Source organism: Homo sapiens, chromosome 13 (assembly GCF_000001405.40).
Source record: "Homo sapiens chromosome 13, GRCh38.p14 Primary Assembly".
Classification (NCBI taxonomy): domain Eukaryota; kingdom Metazoa; phylum Chordata; class Mammalia; order Primates; family Hominidae; genus Homo; species Homo sapiens.
Window position 1 is genome coordinate 106648099 of NC_000013.11, and position 25445 is coordinate 106673543.

The 25445-nt window shown below is 39.6% G+C and overlaps 1 long non-coding RNA gene and 1 pseudogene across 1 annotated transcript; both read left to right on the forward strand.

Moving 5' to 3' along the window:
* The first annotated feature begins 5781 nt into the window (after positions 1–5781).
* On the forward strand, positions 5782–24082 carry LINC00443 (long intergenic non-protein coding RNA 443). Its single transcript, NR_047026.1, has 3 exons — positions 5782–6056; positions 20548–20830; positions 23418–24082. It is a non-coding gene; the product is annotated as a long intergenic non-protein coding RNA 443 (long non-coding RNA).
* On the forward strand, positions 15294–15849 carry ATP5MC1P5 (ATP synthase membrane subunit c locus 1 pseudogene 5; annotated as a pseudogene).
* Positions 24083–25445: the final 1363 nt, after the last annotated feature.

Sequence of the window (25445 nt, forward strand, 5' to 3'; positions counted from 1 at the left end):
ACTTCAAGGCCTGACTTTCAGTCTTCTACATCAGCGTTTCCCAGCCTCAGCACTACTCACATTCTGGGTCCAATAATTCCTTGTTGGGGAGAAGCCTGTGCATCGTAGGATGCACATTAGAAGCCACTCACACCCCCTTCTCCATCAGTTGCCATGACAAAATAATGTCTCCAGACGTTGCCAAACGTTCCCTGGAGGATGAAGAATTCTTCCTAGTTAAAAACTGCTATTCCAGATTTACTTTATATTTGGATATTAATTAACTACAGCTTAGTTTGAGGGTCCTGAAATGCCTCGGTGAACTTTCTTGAATATGAATGAGGACTAGGGAGTAAAAGGTATTGAGGAATAAAAGAGTAACTTTAGTTATAGGAGCTTGGGTTGCGAGTGCATAAAGGAAATTGTCATGACTCCTAGAATGTGACCTGGAGGACTTGTTTTTATCAGAGCAGAGCTCCAGGCACTCCTGTCTTTTGTAAGACTTTAAGAAGTCCAGAGTGGTCACACGTCTTAAAAGACCCAGTTTACTTTGATGTGGGGCATCCTTAAACTTCAGGTGTACGTCCCTATAAAAAATTCACTGATACGTGTGCTGGAAAACCAGGCATGCCACTACCATTCTGCTTCCCATGGCAGACATCACTATTCAATTCTTGCACTATTTAATGCTGAGTGTAACACCAAAATCTTTCTCAACACAAGACTCCAGGTATTGCTACCAATATGTCCAAATTAGAATTTAAATTGAAACCTATTTGTCACCCGTGCTTTTAAATTGTTACCAGTTATTTTAAAGCAATGGTAGCCAGTGATGAAATACATTGTTGGAAATATAACCTGCAAACAAAGCATCGAAGTCTAGAATGGAAAAATAACAAACAGCAAAGAAAGCGCATTTGGCAAAATTATAAATTTTTATAAATTACAAAGACAAAGTTCATTGTTTTTTTGAAACTGATGGCATGAAGATTTAATTTCTCAAGGTCAAATGGTCACTTAGGTTAAGTGAGAAATTCTGTAACAGAGATTTTGTGGGTAGCAAGAAGGTCTTCACAGGCCTGAACTTTGCTCTGGTGTGTCAAGGCTGCCCACCAAGAGCCACGTTTGTGTACAGTCCCCAAAACTGAAGAGAAATGAAAGACAACTGTGAAAGAGATGGACCATCTTTTGGAACAATGGGTGAGAAGGAAGACCCTGGGCATCTGCCTGGGTTGCTGAAATCAGAAAATTCACCCTGAGTCAGGAGTTTGCTGAAAGTAAAACGTGTCTCCAATTGGGATTGACGGTCACCAGATTTGTGGAAGTCAAAAACTCTGTTCCCTTTTATGTCCAAAGGATCTAGAAAACTGTGGAAACTTCTTCAGTAGAGAGACTCATGTAAAATCAAAGGTCTTGGATTAGTTTGGGAGCCTTGCTACTGAACCAGGAAGTCTGGGAGCGAGCCCGGCAATCTGTGGTGTTATCTAATTCTTAAACACACTCCTCAGGTGATTCTGATGCATGTTAAGGTTTGAAAACGCTGATCTAAGGCTGGTTTATTTAACTTTGATTTGCACAGCACTTTCCCCACCCTGACTCAGATTGTTACAATGCAGTGGTTGGGGTGGGGCTTGACTGTCTGCATTTGTTGTTGCTTCCTGGGCCATGATCCAGTATCTAAGCAGTGAAAGTGATTTGCAGTGAGTAGTGAAGCAGAGACAGGCAGCCACCAGGAGGGTGAACCCAGAGGGCAGTGAGCAGTAGGAGCTTTGCTGGACATCGAACCCAAATGTCACCTGTTATCCATTCACCAGGAGACAGGGAGTGCTGGTGACAGGGGTGGCCGCGGGCTTCTGTTTAATACCGTGGCAATTCTCACCTGGCTTCTGACTGCTGCCAAGACAGATGTGGCCTAGAGAATAGCCAATAGCCATTGCAAGGAGACTATTGGGTCTTCATGCCTGATTGGCTGCTTGATCCTGAAGTGCTTTCACACGAGGGTACTTTTATGACCTCATCTTAGAACAAAAATGCCTTTATCCAACTTACTCAGTGTGACTGGGTTCAGAGTGGCTTTTAGTTATTTCCAGAAATCAAAATCACTCTCAAAGGAGGAAGTTTTGCTGTTACAGAGTGTGATGATTAATACTGAGTGTCAACTTGATTGGATTGAGGGATGCAAAGTATTGATCCTGGGTGTGTCTGTGAGGGTGTTGCTAAAGGAGGTTAATATTTGAGTCAATGGGCTGGGAAAGGCAGACCCACCCTTAATCTGGGTGGGCACCATCTAATCAGCTGCCAGCACAGCTAGAATATAAAATGGGCAGAAAAACATGAAAAGACTAGACTGACCTAGCCTCCCAGCCTACATCTTTCTTCCATGCTGAATGCTTCCTGCCCTGGAACACTGGACTCTAAGTTCTCAGGTTTTGGGACTTGGACCGGCTCTCCTTGCTCCTCAGCTTGCAGATGGCCTATTGTGGGACCCTGTGATTGTGTAAGTTAATACTTAATAAACTCTCCTTTATCTATCTATCTATCTATCTATCTATCTATCTATCTATCTATCGATCCTGTTAGTTCTGTCACTCTAGAGAGCCCTGACTAATACACAGAGACAGCTGGAAAAAATAAGACCTGGTCTTGAAGGTGGCTCAAGGCAGTGGAGACAGGTGGGGAAAGAGAGCCTTTCAGATGAGTTCTGGGAAGGCTGAAGCAGCCATGTGAGTGTCCAAGCTCTGGCAGGTTAGACATTGCCATGCCTGGTCGTTGATGGGTGTATCTTGCATGGTTTGCTATAGCAAATGACCTCAGAGAACAGGCAAGGAGGGGACAAAGAAACCAAGAGCTCAAGAGAGAAACTGCTCTGTTTGCAGTTTTGTCGAAGGCCACCTCGTTAGCCTTTCACAAAACCGCTCTGTCGGTGGGAGGGGAACTGGCGATACCATTGTGGTTCAGTGAGTCAGCCCGCTCCCCATAGGCAGGGAACCAGACTCCATGAAATGTTAATTATCTGTTAGAAAAAAACAGTTTATTTTACAGAATTTCAAAAACAATAACTCAATTCCTAGGCAGACTCTGTTATTTGACTCCCTTAACTTAGATTGAGATAGGCTCAATAAATGTACATGAAAAAATTATAAAGTGGTCTTTTGAAAGGAGACAACATATATTCTTCACTCATGTGGTTTAGATACCATAACACTTACACACACGGTGATTGAGTTACAGTCAGAAAGGCGCTATAAAATGACCTTTCCTCCCACCAAGTTTAGATCGCCTATGCAGTTCTAGAGAGAAGTATTAATCTTCAACACAAAATGATCGACTCCATTCCAGCAAGATCACATTGTTCGTATACTTTCTTTGGTTATTTTATCAGCTCAGCTTCCATTGTTTCTCCAGTGATAAATTGCACTTTTATTCATTTCTTTATTTTATGGAGTGCAGAGTCACAGTAATTTCCTTGTTCCAGTTCCATTAACTTCCTGGCAGTATTGTTTAAAGTCTCCAGGCCCTGATGTGTAATCCAACTGTTTCCCTAATATGTGGGAAGCAGCAAACTGCTTGTTTATGTCATAAACAACTCTTGCTATATCTTTTCCCATGAAAATTCTGGCACGAGCTTAGCTCAGTATTCTAGGGCTTAACATAAACCTGGTGTATACAGAGCCTTCCTGGAGTGTTTGAGAACCGAGTAGAGGAACTAGGACTGGCCTGGAGTATCATACTTATCCCACCAACCAAGTTAAGCTTCGAAATTTGGAAAAGAGATCACATACACCAGAATTATTTTCATGTTCATATCTCGGTAGATTCCTCAAACTATCTACACTAGTTTTTTTTTTTCCACTTTTCTCAAGTCCTTGATTTTACCCACACCTTCCACTATGTCATCATACAAATTAAACCTCATTTCATTGTAAAAATTAAGGTCATCTGATCAACATGCTTTCAGCTATCCCTCCATCTCAGAATGCCTCCACATTGCTCCTGTCCTCTCTGCTTCAAATCTAAACCTAGAACCAGCATGGCTTTTCTTGGCCAAAGTGAATCCACTCACCTGTGCTCCAGATGGCACTGTTTCTTTTCTTTTTTTTTTTTTTTTTTGAGACAGAGTGTCGCTCTGTTGCCCAGGCCGTATGTAGTGCAGTGGCGTGATCTCGGCTCACTGCAACCTCTGCCTCCTGGGATCAAGTGATTCTCCTGCCTCAGCCTTCTGAGTAGCTGGGACTACCACCATGTCTGGCTAATTTTTGTATCTTTAGTAGAGATGGGGTTTCGCCATGTTGGCCAGGCTGGTCTTGAACTCCTGACCTCAGGTGATCTGCCAACCTTGGCCTCCCAAAGTGCTGGGATTACAGGCATGAGCCATCATGCCCGGCCTCACCATCCCTTCTTTATACCCTTAATTTCTCATGTTCTCTGCCCTCACTAGCAACATTTTCCTTTTTGGAGAGGTCATCTCTGCATTCTATCTTTATTTTCTTATCTCCTGGTCCATTTTCAAATACACTGTAAATCTAATTTGATCCTCAAACTCCTCCATCAATGTTCAGAGCTGAGATTCTGGCTCATGGCGAAGCAGGCAGTAATGTGGGGGTGGGAAAGCGCAGAGAAAAACTGGAGGTGGGGAAACCTGTTAATGGCAATCATTAAGTCTAAGGAAGCAAGAGGCAATGAAGCTCTGTGTTAAGGGTTTCAGGGTAGGAGAGCTTGGGTAGAAAGCACAGTGCCCATCAAATCTCCAGGTGGTTTGCTACTAATGGGGGCATGCTGTGTTTTCAACTTGAATGTTGAAGGAAATGATGGCATTATTTACAAGTATAGGGGCAAAAGGAGGAGAATCTGAGCGCAAGTGTGTGGGGCTAATGAGGAATTAACATTAGGCATGTTGAATTCGTGGGGATGGTTGGATGATGAGAGACAAAAGTTGGAACTTTGCATTTAGGGCTGTAGAAGGAAATGAGGGTTAAAGACACAGACTTTCAAGTCAACTGCATAAAAGGGAGCCTTTCCACCATAGCTGCAAGTTTCCTGAGAAAGGATGTAAATAGATAGAAGATGGCTTAGGACAGAGCTTTAGAGAAATTCTACCAGGGACGGGTGGAAAAGGCCTCAAAGGAGAATGCAAGGGAGTAATTCAGGACCTTGTAAATCAGGACTAGTTTCCAAAGAAGTGCAGTCAGCAGAGTCAAATCATGCAGAGACTCAGCAGCAGCAGAAATGTGAAGAGCCCCAGGAATCTGGCCATGGAGAAGTCACTCATTCTGTTGTTCAGGAAGAGGTGGCCAGGCCTGCACAGTGGGCTGAGCACTGTTTTAGATAATGGACTAGAGATTCCATTAAATCAACAGCGAATTATGTCCCTGACTTTAGGGAATGCACATTCAAATGACAGTAGCAGAAAATTAACAAGGAATTACAATTCAACTTGGTAAGTGCAATAGCAAAGAGAAAGCAGGGTGTCCTTGCCGCCAATACTAAGTGGGTGGATTTGGGGACCTCTCAGTCATCTCTCTACTAATAAAGGCTCGGCAACCAGACTGCCTGAATCTCAATTATGGCTCAGCCACTTAGCTGTGGGATCTGCGGCAAGTTATGTCCCTGCTCTCTGCTTCAAATTCCTCATTGGTAGTAAAAAATGATAATGATGATAATAACTATATCTACATTATTGGTTTGTGGTAAGAATTAAATATTTTAAAATATCAGGGCCACCCATGATTAACAGCCACCGAACATCTATGGCACTTATAGGAGACTTATGAAATAGGCATTATGATCACATGTGTTTCCACAGGTGAGGAAACAGACGCACACAGAGGTGAAGCAGCTTCCCCAAAGGCGCATGGCTAAGAGTGGTTATTTGTCTCCTTGTCACGCTGTTTTGAGGGAAGGATTCCTACACTAGGATTATGAAGATCGCCAAACAGATGACGCTGGATCCCAGAAAAGTGGGGCAGAATGCAGTTTAGTTGTCACATATGCTCACAGCCTAGGGAAGAAGACAGCGGACAGCCCACAGGGCCACGCGATGGTTCAAGAACAGAGTGAACAGCCAGGGCCTGTGAAAGGTGGGTTTGTAGTAACAAGAAGGGGACTTGGCCCCCGTTTTTGCTGTGTTCATGGGGGTGAGTGGCTGTGTTCATGGGGGTGTATGACTAATTTTGTAGGCTGGCAGGGAACCAAAACCTACTACCCAAAGATAAGCAGGAACTGTGCCTGGTCCCCTGGTGAATTAGTGTTTTTGGCTAGGGGACCTTACCTGTCAGAGCAGAGTGGGGAGGGAAACTTGTGGTCATTTGAAGCCTGATTTTATCAGATGTCAAAGCCTCACTTAATATTGAACCCCAATTTCAGGGCTTACACCTCAGTGACCTAGTGGTGATTAGGACCCATGTATTCTGGGTCCAGGTCCAAGTGCATCTACACTATCCTGTATTTTCTAAAATTCAGACAAAATGTTTTCTTTTGAACATGTCTTACATTCTCCATCTCGACAATGTTTGTTCAAGCCTATCTCTTTGCCTGGAATTCCCTCTTGATTCTCAACTCAGCTTTTGAGATCCTGTCTGCCAAGGACCATCTCAAATGCCAGTTACTTTGCAAAGCTGCTTCGGTCAGATGTGGCCCCTTCTGCGTTTCCAGCACATTGTACGGGGAAAGAGCGTGCCAGAAAATCATGGCTCAGTCTCTGACTTTGCTATTTGTTTGTTACATACTCTTGGGGAAATGAGCTTGATTACCCTTAGTTTTCCCATTTTTCCAGCAGGGATAATAATTTCTCTTTGAGAACTCTTGAAAACACATGTGTAATGCTCAGTATTTAGAAGTCACACAATAAATATGAATTTCTTTCTCTTAAATGATTTTGTATCTCTACTGACCCCGGTATTATTATGCTTCATACTATAATTACTTGTTTGTTTTATTCACTCCCACTAGGCCATAAACTTGAGAGATGGTATTTTACACTTTTGTCTTTCACATCTTTGTCCTGGTTATTTGCTGCTCACCGTCACTTCCAAAGTGAAAGGGTGGGCTGTGTGCGGTGGTTCACGCCTATAATCCCAGCACTTTGGGAGGCTGAGGTGGGCAGATCACTTGAGGTCAGGAGTTCAAGACCAGCGTGGCCAACATGGTAAAATCTCATCTCTACTAAAAAGTACAAAAAATTAGCTGGGCTTGGTGGTGGGCGCCTGTAATCCCAACTACTCGGGAGGCTGAGGCAGGATAATTGCTTGAACCTGGGAGGCAGAGGTTGTAGTGAGCTGAGATCGCACCACTGCACTCCCGCCTGAGTGACAGAGTGAAACTCCATCTCAAAACAAACAAAACAAACAACAACAACAACAACCAAAAAAAAAAACACAAAGTGAAAGGGTGACCTTGGTTCTCATCCATTGTGGAAGGACTTCTCAGCATGTGCTGCTCTACAAAGCAGTGGGGCTGGCTAGGACAAGCACTTTGCTGTTCTCTTAGGAACGCAGTTGCTTTAACTGCACATAATGTCTTTTATTCCTAAAATACACATGCCTGGGAGACATAGCACAAGAATATGAATCCATATTATATTACATAAATCTATATTATGGTGAAACTGACATATCCAATCCCAAACTAAGTTTAACTGGGGTAGTTTTCAGAACCTGAAGAGGGGCAGGCGTGACATGGAAGAAGAAAAGCAGGTGTCAAAAGATGAGTCTTGGGCTTTTATGGTAATATTTGTTTCTTTATCAATTTTAACACATAGATTTGGGAATGGTAAGAAAATGCAGCTCAAACATATTATTTGTGCTATTCACCCATGAACAATGTAAAATGTATGATAAAGAAATATGAAACTGCCATGGGAAAGAGAGGTTTGAATTTTCTAAAGATTTAAAAGATTTGTGTCACATTGTTTATTCTTCATTAAGTGTTAGAGGAATAGATGTATTAATTCATGAAGAGAATGAAAGACAGAATGTCAGGGCTTATTATATTTTTCTTATGCAGTCTCTGATAAAGTATATGACTTGGCATGAATGAGACATCTCACTTCTCTTTCTTTTAGTTTTTGATGAATAAAATGAAAGAGATAGTAATAGGCTGTCTCTAAATGGTAGCATTGGCCATCAAAAACGGACCAAAGGGCATGATAAAGAGGGCACTGGGTTTTGGGGTCACTAAATGCTTGTCTCCAAATAAGTACAAAGTGGGAAAGAAATATTTCTTTGTGATTTTAAGGTTTTAGAGGGGAGTGATAATCATTGGCTAGCTGCATTCATTGGCTCAGAATTATGCAATGCTAATGGTTTTGAAGCCTGACTAAGAAATCTCAGCTGTCAGAAAAACTGCACAATTGAAAGTAATTATGGAAGTTTGAAGGAATCCAAACCATTTCCATAATCCATTGGTTCTTGTCCAACTAGGGTGTCCTCCTTTTTTTTTTTTTTTTTTTTTGACTGTGTGAAATATTATGTAATTTGCTCTAAAAGTCTTGGATGTAATTTGCCCAAATTTCTTCCCAACTCTTTCATAAGTTATCAGTTAAAAGTTTCCTTTCAACAAATGGATTACGCTGCAGAAATTACTGAAGCCACCTGAAATCCTTTTTGAAACAAAGCAGAGTAAATAATTGTCCCACTGCATAAATAGATAAATGACATAGCCTGCTGACATAATTTGCTACCTTTTGAATTATTATCATTTCAAAGCTTATCAATCTTTTTTTCACTGTTCCATTCTATTTTGCTAATGACAGGGAAGGAGCTAAGAACATTTGAATTAATTATGCAAATAAATTCGTATTAATCTTTCTAGAAACTGGGGTGCTCATTTTAGTATCAGTAAAGCTATTTCCATGGCTGTTTGTGGAGATAATAGATGACAGAAAAATAGAATATTATAATAGACTGAGAAAAATATCTTTGAATTACAACAAATACAATTTAATTTAGGCTTAACGCAGGACATTTCCCTCTGGTAGATGAAGGCTGTAGTTTTTTTAGACCTTATTTATAGTTCGATTATGAATAGACACAGGAAAGAGGAACTTGGGGTGGGGTGCAGCATATTAATGTATTTTCATACATTTCCTTTTTTGCAAAAGTGAAATATGTAATATTTAGAGTTATAAGTAAAATTTTGGGGAGGCTTATCAAGAGTCTTCAGAATCATTTTTCTAGAGCCATTTCTGAGATGAGGATCAGCAGACGTCTCGTCTGACTGATGTAATCAGGAGAAGTGGCTGCAGGCCTGATAAGTAATGATCTGCATTTCTATGCTGGGCTAGGGGATGGGGCAGGATTGTTTTGCAGACAGAAATAACTGGACAACCATTCTCGTTTCTGAGGACTGAGGAGGGTAAAGTAGAAGCCTGCAAATTATATGCTTGGAAATTCTCTTGGCCAAAAATCTTCTAGCAATAAAACTTTTGTAATAAGCCTCTTCTCCAAGTTTAGTATTCTTTTGTTATTAAAACTGCTTGGAAAGATATAGTTAGTTTAACGTTCTGAGGAAAACTAATCATTCATTACCAACTTCAAATAGAAAACGGAAAGAATATTAGTAAAAGAGAAAGAAGACTATGAACTGGACATTTCAATGAGTGTTCAGTATAAACATAGCTATACTTTTGAAAGGGAAAGTGTGGAAAAGTGATTACAAAGCCTACATTTTTCTGGCATACCAAAGAGTCAAAGGTTTACATGTTAATCTAAAATCTGACTGGGGTTTGAGGACCAGAGTGAATAGGGGCTGAATCTCTATCCATCTTTGTGTTCCCAGGGTCTAGCACAAGGGACAAAGAGTAGGGGTTCCATGAATGATTGCTAGGCAGCATAAATAATTTTAAATTACAGGAAACCCCCAAGCCTGATTCTAGCCAGTAATGCCAACCGCACTTCCTACTAAATCTTTTATTCATGCACTCAATCCCTTTTTCAATTGAATAGTTTGAATTTCATCTCTTTTTGACACTATATTTATGAAGCCTTTGAATCAATTATTTTGTTCTTAACATGCTTTTTGGTACCAAGATATTATACATGACAGTGAAAAAGGGGTAGAAAATCAATGTCAAGTGAATGGCTTTGTGAGTGATTGACTACACGCTGAATCCAATGGATGCAATGCCTTACCCCCCAAGGCTACAAAATTGGAGGACAGCATGAAGCTGCCCCAGAAGATAGGTTGATCCACATCTGACACAGAGACTGCCGAGAAGTACACCTGTCCTGTGTCATTCACAGGCCCAAGGTGAGTCCTGTGAGGTCATTACTAACAGTGACACCCAGAGAGACTCTCTCATGCTGTCAATCAGGGTTGGCTGTGCATCAGTTGATGGGTGCCCAAGTGTCTTACTTGGGTGAAGCAGACAGGATCCATGTGATTTAGGCTCTGTATTTCAAAGGAAAGCATGGCGGCCTGACAACTGAAGTGTACATTGAGCATTTTGTTGAAAATCAAATAAACAACACTACTTAAAAAATAACAACAACAACAACCAACCTCTTGAATTTTTTAGTTTGTTATAAAGGTATCATCTCTATCTTCTGCCCCTATTGTATGGTTTTGAGAAGAGAGATGAGAAGGTATAAATTCCATCAGGTGGGAATTCCTGTTTTGCTCATTGCTGTGTTTTCCGTGGCCAGCAGAGTGCCAGACATACAGTAGATACTTAAGCAGTATGTGTTGAGTGAACATTGGATAGGGTGAGAGAAATATGGAAGTAAGGCTGAGTATATGGCTGGGTAGTCAACACTTGGATGTCTTTTTTCTGTCTTTTCTTGCATTTATTTTCTCTAATCTTTTAAACCTATTTTTCATATACCTTATATGTATAAGGTCCTATATAAGGCACTTTGAAGTTCTTGGAGAGTTTCCTCATACATTTGTATTAATTTACTTATTTATCCACTTAACAAATATTTGTTGTTCATTTAACAAGGTATGTATCACTATTGAATTTTTTTCTAAAAATAGTACCATTTTAACTGTTATCCTCTAATGAAATTATAGTTTGGAAGCAAAGACCAAGCAGTAAAAAATAGTGAGAAGGATCTAAACTGATCGAAAAGATGTAATAACATGGACCATTAATCCCACAAAGTAGTGTATTCCACTGAGCAATATTAAATTGTAGAAAGAACAGTCTAATAAAATATCACCCTAGGCACTTTCAAAGAAGAATAGTTGATACCAAATTGGCTAAAGGAAGATTTAGTCATAAGATCTTTTGAGAATAAAAAGTTTGAATAGATGATATAAAAATACAACTTTTGACTGATTTCATTGCAGTAGCTAATATAAATAGTTATTATGCTATGTGACCTAGAGCCCAGTAAAATAGAATTTTTTAGTCTTGAAGTTTCAGATTACCTTTATGCCTTAATAGGCTTAAAAGCTTAAAACATTTGACTTAACCAATATCAAATACTTCTTAATGAATATAAATGATTCAGGAAGAAAACATGAATCCTAATAGATTCCCATTTGAAATTGGGAGGTACATTAAAGTCATTATGTCCAAATTTCCTATCTTCTGGAAAGGAAATTGAGGTCAAGAGAGGGCAAGTGACTGATTCAGCATTGCACATGTAGGGTACATGACTTCTACTACAGTTTTCTCTGCACTATATAGCCATACTTCCATTGCACATTAATACACTAGCTTTCTAGTCCAACACAATCTTGCTTGACTTTGGATGGTCTAACTTATTAAATTTATCATGTTATTCCCATATCGACTCTCAAAACCAAAGCTTTCCCCACATCAACAGGAATCTACTTGGACCCTATTGCCAGATAGGGATTGTTTGAGTACAGTGAAATATGACTAACTGGAAACTTATCTGAATTTAAATGTGATTGGCTCAAAGAGTGGCTTATGCCCTTTTTGTACTTTATTGGTGACATGTCAGTAAGAGGAAATCCAACTTTATTAACCAAATGCTCCTCATCCTTGGACTGCCCCAAAGTCATATTTCTTCTAATTTATTCAATTTGGGGAACCATGTTATAGATAAGGAGACTGAGGCCCAAGGAAGGTCTTGAAGGAAGTGTGTGGCAGAGCTGCTATTGAAATCCCAGGCTACATCCTCCACCTAGGATGGGTAATTTTATGTGTCAACTTGGCTAGGCCATAAAGCCCAGTTTTGTTTGGTCAAATATAAATCCTAACATTGCTGTGGATGTATGTTTTAGATGTGATTAAGATTTAAATCAGTAGACTTAAAGCAGATGACCCTGTGTGATTTGGGTAGGCCTAATCCAATCAGCCAATGGATTTAAGAGAAAAGACTAAGGTTTCTTGAAAAAGAAAAAAATTCTTTTCAAGTGTTAAACATAGAAGTTCTGCCTGAGTTTCCAGCTTGCATCCCTGCAAAATTTGGACTCAAGGTTGCAACATTTTAACTCTTCCCTGAATTTCCAGCCTTGGGGGCTGATGCAGATTTTGGACTTGTCACTTCTACAACCGAGCCAATTCCCTAAAGCTTCTTTCTCTCTATCTTCTATGGATTCTGTTTCTCTGGAGTACCTTGACCAATAGTCCTTGCATGCTCTTTCTGTGTACCTTTTGTGTCCTAAAGCTAGACTTTGAAGTGAGAAAAAAAAAAATCTGCTATGGAGACCATGAGCCCTTGCAGGAGGATGAACTGTGACTCCATTTGAAAGAGAGATACCCAGAGAGGCCAGGCCTTACCCAGAGATCAAGGTGGCAGCATTGGAGCTGGGTTTTGACAGGCACAGCTGCAAATGCTCACAGGACCAGCAGCATTGGAAAAGTAATCACCAGAGCCCTCCACGAAGCCCCTGATGGGATAGATCGGACTTAAGAACAACAGTATCAACAAAGAGAATTTTCAGGAAAAGAAGCTCTGCCTTGCTTGTTTAATTAAAAAAGAAGATATATGGGAAGACATTTTGCAGAATGCCTTTTTAGAAAGGCAAAAAAAAAAAAAAAGAAAGAAAATTCCTCCTACCTAAAGTAAAACATCAACACTCTTGAATAGAAAAGAATTTAGATTCTGAACTAAATGGTTTAATGAGGGACAGATAATAAGTGTGAATTGAAACTAATTGGTGTTTCAGATCACTGAGCTGGTTGAAAAACCATTTGTGATGAGGTCTGTATAAGTTAACAGTCGCTTTTAAATGCCCAATTAAACATCGTTCTGTCCCTAGTGAGAATAAAAAAATGTATTGTTGCTTATTGCTCTATACTTAACCAAATGATTAAAGTGGGTAATCTGAACAGATTTATTTTTTGTGTGTGGTAAAAGGCTCTTTTTTCCCGAGTAGGCTGATGTAGGTAGCCTTTGGACAATGACACATTGTGTCACATACAGACAAGAATGCCACCTCGCAGTGAGCATGCATAATGGGATAATGTGAGAAAAAGGCCACCAGATTCTTGTTGAACAAAAGGAAAAATAAAGAGACAAGGTGAGAGGTGGCTGGGTCATGGCAGATTTTTTTTCCTCTCCTGGGAGTAATAATTAAAAGGGTATCAATAAGAGGATTTAAAAAAATATGCTATTTGGGTGCTAAGGATTAAGGGCACAAGTGTTTGCAATGAATTATATTCAAGAGAGATCAAGGTTTAATACTTGTAATTTCATTTTACTATGGGCTGAAGCCCTCTGGAATTCAATGAAAAGGTTATTAAGAGGATAGTCGGACAGATGGGGGACTGGAGAGGGCTCAGAAGGGCTTGCTCTGAGGCCATCACCCGTGGAATCATTTTCTGGGTTTAGGGACGGAAGACCTGGTGTGGAAATGGAGTGATTTCTGAAGGAAAGTGTCCAGGAGGAGCAGCCTACAAGGTAGAGGGAGTCTCGGGGCATCAACTTTCCTTCCATCTCCTCACCTCCCACCTCCTTCTCTTCTTCCCACTACAGTTTCATGCCTTGGGGTAAAGCATGCCATTTCTCTATGGTCTAGTTTTACACCCATAGCTGCACAACAGTGAAAGGAAAAAAAGTATTTTCTGTAATTAACTTCCCTAAATGTTTTCAAGGTAGTTTATTTGACTCTGCGTGAGCATAAGGTCAGGGGAATATTTTTCTTCTGCAATTCCAGAAAACAAAACAAACAAGAACCTAACACCAAAGGTGTTAAGAAAAAAAAAGAGAATCATTTAGATTTTTCAAAAATATATTCCAACAAAAACTCTAATGTTATCTGTGCAACTCATTATTTTGTGTGGAAACGTCCTCTGATGACGCAGGTGCTAATGAGTGACTTCTTTGAGAGGAGGACATGAAGAAAGGTGGGGACAAGGAGCCAGGAGCCTACTGGAAAGATCAGGGTGAAGGAAGAGGTACTCACAGGGTTACTCTGTATTGGCTTCACCTTCCTCTTTCTCCCACTCTCAACTTTGCTGAGAACCAAAGTCTTGGTGGCGAGTTCAGACATTCAACAGAGTAAGCTCTATCTATTATGTACTGAGCCTATATATTTATTTAGATTCGCATATTTGTGTGTGTATTCATTACTACTTTTTTTTTTCCCTTAAAGACAGAGTCTCACTCCTTTTTCTTAGAGTCTCACTCTGTCACCCAGGCTAGAGTGCAGTGGTGCAATCATGGCTCACTGTAGCCTCGAACTTCTGGACTCAAGTGACCCTCCTGCCTCAGTCTCCTGAGTAGCTGGGACTACAGACACATGCAACCAAATTGGGCCAATTAAAAAAAAATTTTTTTTTTAAGAGATGGGTTCTCATTATATTGCCTAGGCTGGTCTCAAATTCCTGGCCTCAGGAAACCCTCCCTCCTCAGCCTCCCAAAGAGCTAGTATTACAGGTGTGAGCCACCTTGCCTGGCCCATCCATTACTTCTTAATGGCACTTCCTTCCTCTGTTCCTCTAAGCAGTCATTTGCTTCTAACAGCACACATGGTTTCTTGTATACGATTTGCACTGATGTCTATTGAGTCAACCCGTCAATAGCAGTCCTGGGTTCTGAGACAGTCGTTTTTTTCAGTTGGCCTCAGACCACGCTAGTTTGTTTTCCTTTCTGAAGTGGATTACGACATGGGTGCTTTGGCTGTTCTACCTTCTTGACCACTGCTGGGTCCGCTGCTTTAAGCCAATAAGCCCACCTGTTTGGACATCTAGGTGTGACTTTTCTTTGAGAAAGAGTAAATTTTTTCTCAAATTCTAATTTAAGCCCCTATGGCTTAATTAGACACCCACCCTGCCAACCCCCCCAGCAAATGTTAGAACAAAGAGTCTCACAACCAATGTTTCAACTGTATTGTTCTGAAGCTTTATTTCCATCTTCCTCCATGCAGCAAAAGTCCCAATAAAGTAAAAAGAAGAAAAGAGCTGGAGCGCTGAGACCAAGGGCTAAAGCTGGGAGACTGAAACAATGCAGACCACAGGGGCATTACTCATTTCTCCAGCTTGGAACCTCTGTTGTACCTGGGGTCTAATCAGGACTGTATCTGCCTCCTTCTTGAATAGCCCAGATAATTCACCTAAACAGCCTTCCTACAGCAGCTCCCCACTGCGGGTGGCCAGACGGGAGTTCCAGACCAGTATTGTCTCCCGGGACATTGACATAGCAGCCAAGTTGATTGGTGCTGGGGCAGCCACAGTTGGTGTGGCTGGTTCAGGGGCTGGCATTGGAAAAGTGTTTGGCAGCTTGATCATTGGCTATGCCAGGAACCTGTCTCTCAAGCAGCAGCTCTTCTCCTATGCCACTCTAGGCTTTGCCCTATCTGAGGCCATGGGGCTCTTCTGTTGAATGACCACCTTCCTCATCCTCTTTGTCATGTGAGGCTCTGTGGGGGTCACCTGCCTGTGCATGCTGCTGTGACTCCATGCCATTCCTGGTTCTGCGGTGTGCTAAGCTTTACCATTGAACACGTTTCTCTAAAAAACGAAAAAAGAAAATAAAAGAAAGAAAAGAGCTAGTGGAGTGGAAGCTCTTCCACCCCCACCTCCCATGCCCAGGAGAAGGGCCTGCGGGCCTCAAGCACACTGGTCACTCTGGCACGAGTGAGGAAGAAGAGCCCTGTAAGGGCTGTATGGGAGAACGCACCCCTTCCTCAACAAGGACTGCTTCCGCCTTTCAGTGTTGCTTCCCAGAGCCTGAAAGCACACTTGGACTACAATCTCATTTTTTCCTGGACTCAGGCTCTCAGCCCTGATGAAGCCTCACTGCCACTCTCCTGGAGTGAAAACAGTCTAGAGATGTGACCTACCCAAATAGATTTAACATACTCCTCTACCGTACAGAAAAGAACAAGGGCTCAGCGACAAAACTATTAGGAAGCCACGAATCACACACAGGGTTAGTTCAGTCATATGGGATTCAATACTGGAGGACAATTTTGATTTTATTTCTTTCACATTTTACATACTCAGTAGTAGAGGCTGTGAAGGGTCTGAAGACCTTCTGTTCTGCCAGGGAAATGGACAGCTTGATGACCAGGCCCTGGGGCAGTCAGCTGAGAATGACTCCTGCCATCAGGGCCCACCTCTTGACTTTTCCTAGGAACTGACATTTGTCCTCTCACTTCTAACTTCCCTTTATTTCCCAGTGTTACACATTCTTTGATGATTGAGCCTCCTTTATGATCTGCACCCTGTGGAGTTCTCTCCAGACTAGATGAAGAGTTGAACAGGCTTAATAAATCATTAACATAATACAAAATATTTGAAACAATAATGCCACAATTTGACTACTAGATTATATCTACACAGCTAGACAGAAATTTAAATACTAAGGGAGTTAAGTGAACACTTTTACAACTAATTTGATTTATTTATATATTTTTAAAAACAGTAGATGATAAAGCAGATATGGAAAAATTCCAAATTACAAAAAGATTAAAATTATTTCTTGCATAATTTATTTTTAAATATATTTTTCCTATACTATAATAACTAGAGTTAATGATTTTCATTATAAATTGCTAAACATGTTTAATTTCTAAATGCGAAGTCAGAAACCTCTAAACAAAAGATTTGTCATTTAAAACGATCAATTATTGTTTTAGACATATTTACTTAAGAAGGAGAAACCTAAAATATACAGCAACTGTGCTTAGAATTGATGAAGCTGAGATATGATGAAAATGAAGTTCATATGAGGAACATTTAAAAAAAATTAAAAAAACAAGACAAATCGAGTCAGTCATTCACCCTTTTATATAATACTACAGTACTTGTGCTGATTAAAAATGGAGCTAATTGTAGGGTAGAAGTTCCTTCAAATTAGAAAATAATTTCTATGAATTTCTAGTTGTTCCGTGGCAAATAATTTAGAATACTAGGGTTTCAATATCAGTAAATCAACATAAGGACTGAAATAGGCATCATGAGCGTATTTACAAATTATTCCTGTTTCTTGAGGGTTAAATTCTTATGGAATTCATACATGAACACTTTACAAATGTGAAAGTGTGGGCTACTTTATCTCAGGTTATGCTCAAGGAAACAATTATGCAAGCTCCGTGCAAAGTACTAGACGTGGAATAAGTGGAGACTAATATTATTAAAAACATTAAATAGGCCTTTCCATCAATGAGTCCAATGGATGAAGCTCAAATATTTTCCCTTCGGAAGCTTCCTTTGCCCATTCTATACCTTGCTGTGCTTCCGCCCTTCCTCCTCACAGCTACAAACCAGAACATTCTTCCCCAAGGATAACGTAGATCTCTGTGCAGTGAAGGCTTTCTTCTCCATGTCCCTCGGTAGAATTTTATCATTTTTATAGTTTTCTTTATTGTTCACTAAGTGAATTCTTAGTTACCTCATGATTAGAATTATTCGGGTGAATGCAATTTTCCTTCCCTTATATTTTCTAGTTGCTTTATTCCTGGAGAAATTTTTGTCTATTTGTGTTGCCCTGATATGTCTATGTTTGCTTTTCCTTTATGACTGAAATGACCTTTTTGATGAAAAAGTGAGTTTAAACTAGCTTACAAGCTAGTTTAAACTTTTAGTTTTCTAGGTGAGTGTATATTTTTATCTTCATAGTTATATCTTCTCCACAGCTTCAAAGCAAAGGCCTTATACGTCCAAGTTAAGGAGCTTACTCCAAAGGAAAAAGGCACATATTGCTTGATTTCTGTTTTCTCTCTTCCTTCCATGTCATCAGCAGCTCAAATCCTGCCCATGTGATATGTGAACAAACACCAACTTTTCTGTTTTCTGTTCTTTCTTTCTCCAGCCTCATCTGCCAAGCTAGAGTATATCTTTCAGGGATTCCTAGCTGCACTGTTCTGTGCTCATCTTCCAGGGAAGTTACAAGTTAGTTCCTAATCACCTTTATTTGATCTAAGTGGCATCGTATCTGATAGTCATGTAAGTTTGAATCCCAACAGGTTTCTGCGTCAACGGAGATTAATAGTGGCAGTCAGAGAGTGGCCCCAATGATGGCCACAGCAAAACTCCTGGAACATGCGTGTTACCCACCGTGCACAGCAAGAGGGCCTTTGCAGATAAAATTAAGGGTACTGTATTAGGGCTCTCTAAAGGGACAGAACTAATAGGAAAGATGAATATATGAAGGGGAGTTCATTAGGAAAATTGACTCACACGATCACAAGGTGAAGTCCTACAATCTGTAAGCTGAGGAGCCCAGAAGCCAGTCCGAGTCCTAAACCCTCAAAAGTAGGGAAGCCGACAGTGCAGCCTACGGTCTGTGGCTGAAGGCCTGAGAGCCCCTGGCAAACCACTGGTGTAAGTCCAAGGGTCCAAAAGATGAAGAACTTGGAGTCTGATGCTCAAGGGCAGGAAGCATCCAGCACAGGAGAAAGATGGAGGCCAGAAGGCCTAGCCAGTCTAGTCCTTCCACGCTCTTCTACCTGCTTTATTCTACCTGCACTGACAGCTGATTAGATGGTGCCCACCCAGATTGAGAGTGGATCTGCCTCTCCCAGTCCACTGATCAAATGTTAATCTCCTTTGGCGACACCCTCACAGACACACCCAGGAACAATACTTTGTATCCTTCAATCCAATCAAGTTGATACCGGATATTAACCATTACAGGTATGATCCTTGAAATTGGAAAACCATTCTAGATTATCAGGGTGAGCCCATCTAGATACATGAGTGTGTCCAAGGGCATGACCTTTCCCTCTGTGGTCACAGAGAGACATGACGATGGGAGCAGGGCCGGGGAGAGATTTCTTGTTGCTGGCTTTGAAGGTGGAGGAAGGGGATCATGAACCAAGGAATGCATAGTGTTTCTAGAAGGTGGAAAAGGTGGGGAAATGGCTTGTTTGCCTGAGCCTCTAGAAAGAAACATGGTCCTGCTGACACTGGATGTTAACTCAGGGAGGCCTGTGTCAAACTTCTGACCTCCAGGAGTGTCATATAATAAATGTGTGCTGTTTGAAGTCCCTGAATTTGTGGTAATTTGTGATGGCAGCAGTAGAAAACTGATACACTGAGGTATTGGTCTGCTTAAGCTGCCATCACAGAAGACCACAGACTGGGTGGCTTAAACAACAGAAATTTATTTTCTCACAGTTCTGGAGGCTGGAAGTCCAAGATCTAGGTGCCAGCATGGTCTGGATCCGGTGAGGGCGCTCTTCACGGTGGGCAGATGGCTGCCTTCTCACTGTGTCCCCGTGTGAGAAGCGGGTAGAAGAGACGTGCTGCCTCTCTTAGGAGGTAATTACGGTCAAATGAAGTCATAAGGGCGAGGCCACAATGACCTCTTAAAGGTCCTATCTCCAAATACAGTCCCAACAGGAGGTAGGGCTTCAACATATGAATTTTGAGGAAGAAGCACAGTTCAGTCCATAGCAATTGATGTAAAATGTTTAAAAATTTGCTTTTTCTTCCTTTCAGTGCTGTGTGTATGTATGTATCTGTGTTTCACAGGGTGGGAGATGTGCACAGGAATAATTAGTACTTGTGATGATATTGCTCTTTAAAATATTTTTAAATATTTTAACATATTATTTAAAATGTAAAAATATTATAGTTTAGCTACAGCCACCTTGTATATTGTATTCTTTAAAAATGCAATGAGTGGATGTTAAATACTCTCACCAAAAAATAGCTGTGTGACATAATGTATATGTTAATTAACTAGATTTAACTATTCCACAATGTATATATACTTCAAAATATCATGCTGTACATGATAAGTACATAAAATTGTATCTGTCAGTCTCGTAAAAATTAATAAACAGATTCAAAAAAATTATATTTTGCATTTTAAACTTTTATAGAAAAATAATTTTATTTACAAAAATTTATAAACATTGTGCAGAGAGTTTTCTGTGCTCCTCACCCAGCTTCCTCTATGTTCACACCTTATATAACCATAGTACAAGTAGCAAACTGAGGAAGTGAATGAGGATATGAGGCTATTGGCTAAATTACAGGCCACATTAGAATTTTGCCAAGTATTCAAACTGTCTGTTTTCCATTCCAGGATCCATTTCAGGATCCCATATCAAGTTTAATTGTCCTGTCTCATTAATTTCCTCCAAATTGTAGCCATTCCTCACTTTTCTTGCCCTTCATGTCCCTGACAATTTTGAGGAGTACGAGTTGGTTATTTCGTTGAATGTCTTCGACCTGGGTTTAATGTTCCTTTTATTTTCCAGGGAGGAATCTCCCAGTGTTTGTGCCATGTTTTGATCTGACTGAAAGCCATAAACATAGCCGAAGCCTGGGCCATCCACAGAAGACCCAATGTTCTCTTTTTCCAAGTGGGCATTTTGTATCTCTGAAGAGTTCTAGACTGAGCTACATCAGTAGACCTCTGCATTTAAAGGGAGCAATTCTCATCCGAGGATCCTGATTCTTCTACTGTAGTGCAATTTCACCACTCTCTCCAAATGTCTCCAAGCAAATTCAAAGCAGCTGAAAATAACTGCATGCCTGAGAGTGAGAGAAATTTCTTAAGTGATCGACCAAATCTGGGTCTGATTAGTGGGTGGATGCCTCATTGGAGAGGCTGATTTGAGAGTCGGGGTACAAATAATAATGGCTAATAATGGCAAACAATTAGTAATTGCTAGGTGCCAGGAGTTGTGCTAAATGCTTTACATGAGTAGATAGGATATTGCAGATCTCAACAGTTAAGAAATTTGCTTGTGATCATGTAGTTTGGAGAGTATCAGAGTCTGAAATGAAGACAACTTGAGGGTCAATAAACAGGAAGAAAAAGTACTCTACAAGACAGTTTATCTGATAACGGTATGATGGAAGATGGCATCAGGCGGAGGTAAATGGGACGAGGGACTGGAAGAAAACCACTGAATCAAAGACTCTTGGAGTTGAAAGTTTCCTTAGCAACTATCTAGATTCATTAACTTCTTCACAGTTGAGAGATTTCTGCATTATTTTTCTTCCATAAATAACCAATCTCTGCTTAATTTTTTACCAGACCACCCCATCTACTCCTGGGCTACCATTACCATTCAAGTCTTTTCCCTTCTTTTGGACTAAAAACTACTTTTAAAAATTGTCATCCATTAGTCACAGTCAACCTCTCTGGAGTTAACAAGATAAATATGTGTCTCTTTCATTTGACAATCCTTCAAGTATTTCAACATAACTATAACATTCTCCTTAAGTCTTTTCATTTCTATTTGCAAGTTCTTCAGCTATTTTTCTTACAATATAATTAACAGTCCTTTTGCCAAGCAGGGTCTCTATTATTTAGTAAAAGGCAGGCAAATACTGGAAGACTATTCACATTTGAATTTGACAAAAAAAAACAAACGAAAGCCATTTTACAATTAAGGCAACTTAGATGTCAGGACAAGAAAACTGTAGGACCAGCATTAAGTAGTCAGTTGAGTGTGGGAACATAATCCACAGGAGAATCTAGTGTGTATAATGAAAGTCTGGAAAAATTCAGTATAATATCATTTCAATAACTATTCCTTTTAAGATTCCCCTTAGAAGAACACATAACTTAGATGTCCTGAGGACAGAATCTGGAGCACATCTGAGCATTTATAAACTGGATTCTGCCTGGCACTTAAAATGTTTTCCTATTTAGGAGATTTAATTGTCAAATGAGGCTTTTATCTTTTGATCCTATCAACTGATATCCTGCAGAAAACGCTGGATGATGGATTTCTTTGGAACACACGATCATTCTGTAATTTTACCTTTCTTTCCTTTTCCTCTGTTTCTTTACTTGTAACTGAACCCTGAAATAGAACTTAATCTGTCAGCTGCACTCTACATTTGTTCTTTTTGCACAGAAAACACTATTATTGCAGATATTCAAACTATACAAACTATACATTTTTCTTAAAATTCAACATAGTTGAAATAAAAAGGTTTTGCAAATGTATTTAAAACTCTTCAGTGCTTACTATGCTGTTTTTACATAGTATCTTTTAGTAGGAAAAACAGAAACATGGCGAGGTAATGTCTCTTTTTTTTTGCCTAATGCTAATTAAATAATCTGTAAACTTAAATACTATCAAGATTTTGAATCAGCTGAAAATCAAACTGAGTCATTCATAATTTTTTCTGAATCTTGATATTTTTGCAGTTATTCTGCAGAGTGTCTTGAAATGCTAGAAGCTGTAATAATTTGTGGCTATTCTATTTCTCAAGGACATTAGATAGAAATTTCAAAAAAATACTTCTGTTCATAAGACAGTGAGTTATACCCATCTTTAGGGAGGTAAAGTAGACGTTTTGAAATGCTTTTGAGATTTCAGGAGCCATGGTAAAAAGAATAGAAGCAGTTAGATTCTTAACTCTCCCTAAATGTGTTATTATTTAACAAAAATAGGAATTGATTGAATAGTTTTGAGTCTAATTACCAACAGTTTACTCCATTTGTGTTTTAAAATGGGAAATGTATCTTGATTCATTAATGGAAATTGCTTCATTTTGTCCTCCATGAAACATGGAGATGTTAAAGTTTTATCATAATACAGTTGAAATTACTTAGTAAGATGAAATTACTAATTTCCACACAAATACAACGCTTACTATTTCATTACTATTACTAGTAATTTTCATCTTTCATTTTAGTAATTATATGGTCTGCACTATATAATTCTTTCTTTCTGAAAGAATACTCATCAGAAGTTATATTAATACTTTGAAAGGTTTATGAAAAATAAAAAATGAAAGATGCCCAGCATTTTTTTTCTGGTGTATTTTTAGCAAGATCAGATATCATAGAATTTAAATGAAGAACTTTGCTCTACGTAATTAGTCATTGATCAAAGAAACGACAAATTTTGGAATGAAAATAGCAAATTCAGTTAAAATATTCTGCAAAAATACTTCTAAAATTATTTTTAAAAGATAGTTGTTAAGGCATAGGACTAGTACTCTTGGATACTATTTTTTCTAGGTGTATCATATGAGTATTAATAATTCAATCTGAAACAAATCAGTAAGCTTTCTAGTATTGAAATTTTCTCTTTTGCTTTCCTACTGTGTCACCATCGTACTGTTTTGTTTTACACAGTGAGAGCATAATTTTCTTCTACAGGGACCACGAAGCTTCAGGCCAGCCCTGTCCCGAAGTCTTCTGTGCTTCATGTCGAGTGGTCTGCAGTGGACTGTGTCTGCTTGAAGCGATGCTCCGGAGGGCTTATTGTTGTGTGGGGTAAAGCATGAGATCACTGAAAAATGAGAGAAATCGAGCATACGAAATGTGAAGCATATCTGTTGACACCATGCGCTCCCTTTGCTTGCACTGGATGGCGCATGGTTTCCGTGCGCAGTGCCTGAGGTGTGGGGCAGGCGAGGCCCATGCAGCCTGGCTCCTTTCCAGAAGGTTGCTGTTCATTACAGCTCGAGTGTGCTGGGTTCTGCAGATATTATCTATTTTAAATTAACGCTCCGTAAAAGGAATTTAAAGTTTTCTGAAAAGAAACCAATGAATGAAGCTAATAGTAATAATGCAAACACAAGCAAGCTGCCAAGTAAGCCATTTTTCTATTACGGAGCCCTTCATCAGTCATATTATTAAAGAAAAAACAACAATACTAGTAATAATGATCACCTATTCAAGACCAAGAGGTTGATCCTCCAAAATTCAAACAAGGAAAAATCTCTCCCAATCTCTCCTTTCCTCCATCCCTTTTCTTTACTTCTCATCCCATATATAATATTATATAATGCATACGTAATAAAAGACATTCACTATTATTAGCAATGATTCCTTATCTGTATATTGTGCCTTAAGATATATTAGCAAATGGTGTGCATATTTAGAAGACTTATTTTTAAAAATAATATATATGTTGGGGTAAAGGGTCAACCCTTTATTCATTGACAAGCGAGGTTATCAAAGAAGTCTGGACTCATTTTTGCTCTTCCAAGTCTAAATATAAATTTTGGTTTATAAAGGATTTCATATGGTTCCCAACAGCACATTGTAAAAATTCAACTCTCTGCCTTACTAGTTATTGAAGTCATCTTACAGATGGCCACAATAAGTCCCTTCTTATTTATTTTTGCCAATATAATTTGTAGGGTAGATGTATGTAGTTTGCTTGATTCTGACCGGAAATCTGTTCTGTTTCCTGCTTGACTGAAATTTGGGGCAATGGAGGCAGCAGAAATATGCAAATATAAACCTGAGTTACACAATGGGCTTTGGTTCAGTGGATGAATATTATTTAATTTTCCAATGTCATTGTAAGAAATTGAGAGATGAACTTGAACTTTTAAAACTTTGTGGACAAAATATCATCAATATTAAGGGAACAAGTTTCTTAAACTTTAGAAGGAAATCAATTCTAATGTGTAGTTAACCAGATTGTTCATTGTTGGGTTTATCATTAACTTGGTCTTTACCTCATTAACTTCCCTCTGTCTTATTGTTTATTATGCTGCGTTTATTTTCTCTGTAATCAAGTGTAACTGTAGCATTGGGGAGAGTATTAGATTTTCTATAGATTTGGGTGTTTCATGTGCAGCAGACCACGTGCTATTTTTGCCCGAGCAGCTCTTGTTCACCTTTGTTCTGGAGACAGAACTCTCCTTTAATTTTGGAAACTTCCCCTCCTATTACTGATAGGGCTGTCAATCGCATGTCCCCCAAGCCTCCATCAATGTGATGGCCAGGGACTTGTGTGGGTCACAGACTCAAACCTGAACTTCTGCCGAAGATATCAAGAAGGAGAAGCCCTCTATTTACTGAAGTCTCTGACTGTAATAACTGAGTGAATTGATATCTTCCAGCAGCCACTGTAGCACCACAAAAGGAAGGCTTGTCCAGGAATTAAACCAACACAAGGAAAGCCCAGACAAAGAGGGAAGGATGGGCTCATGATGTTTGAACCTCTGATCTGTCTATGCCTTGAGCCAGCCACACTGCAGGATGCTGTTGCTCCAGCAATTAAATGTTCTATTTTTGTTTAGGTTAGTTTGTGTCAGTGTGTGTCACTTATTACTAAAATGTTCCTGAGATAGACAACACTGTGGAGGGAAGATCATATGAACTTAATGATTTGACCTAAAAAATGGCAATTTCTTAGGATTCAAACCAATATAATAAAAAATGCAGGTG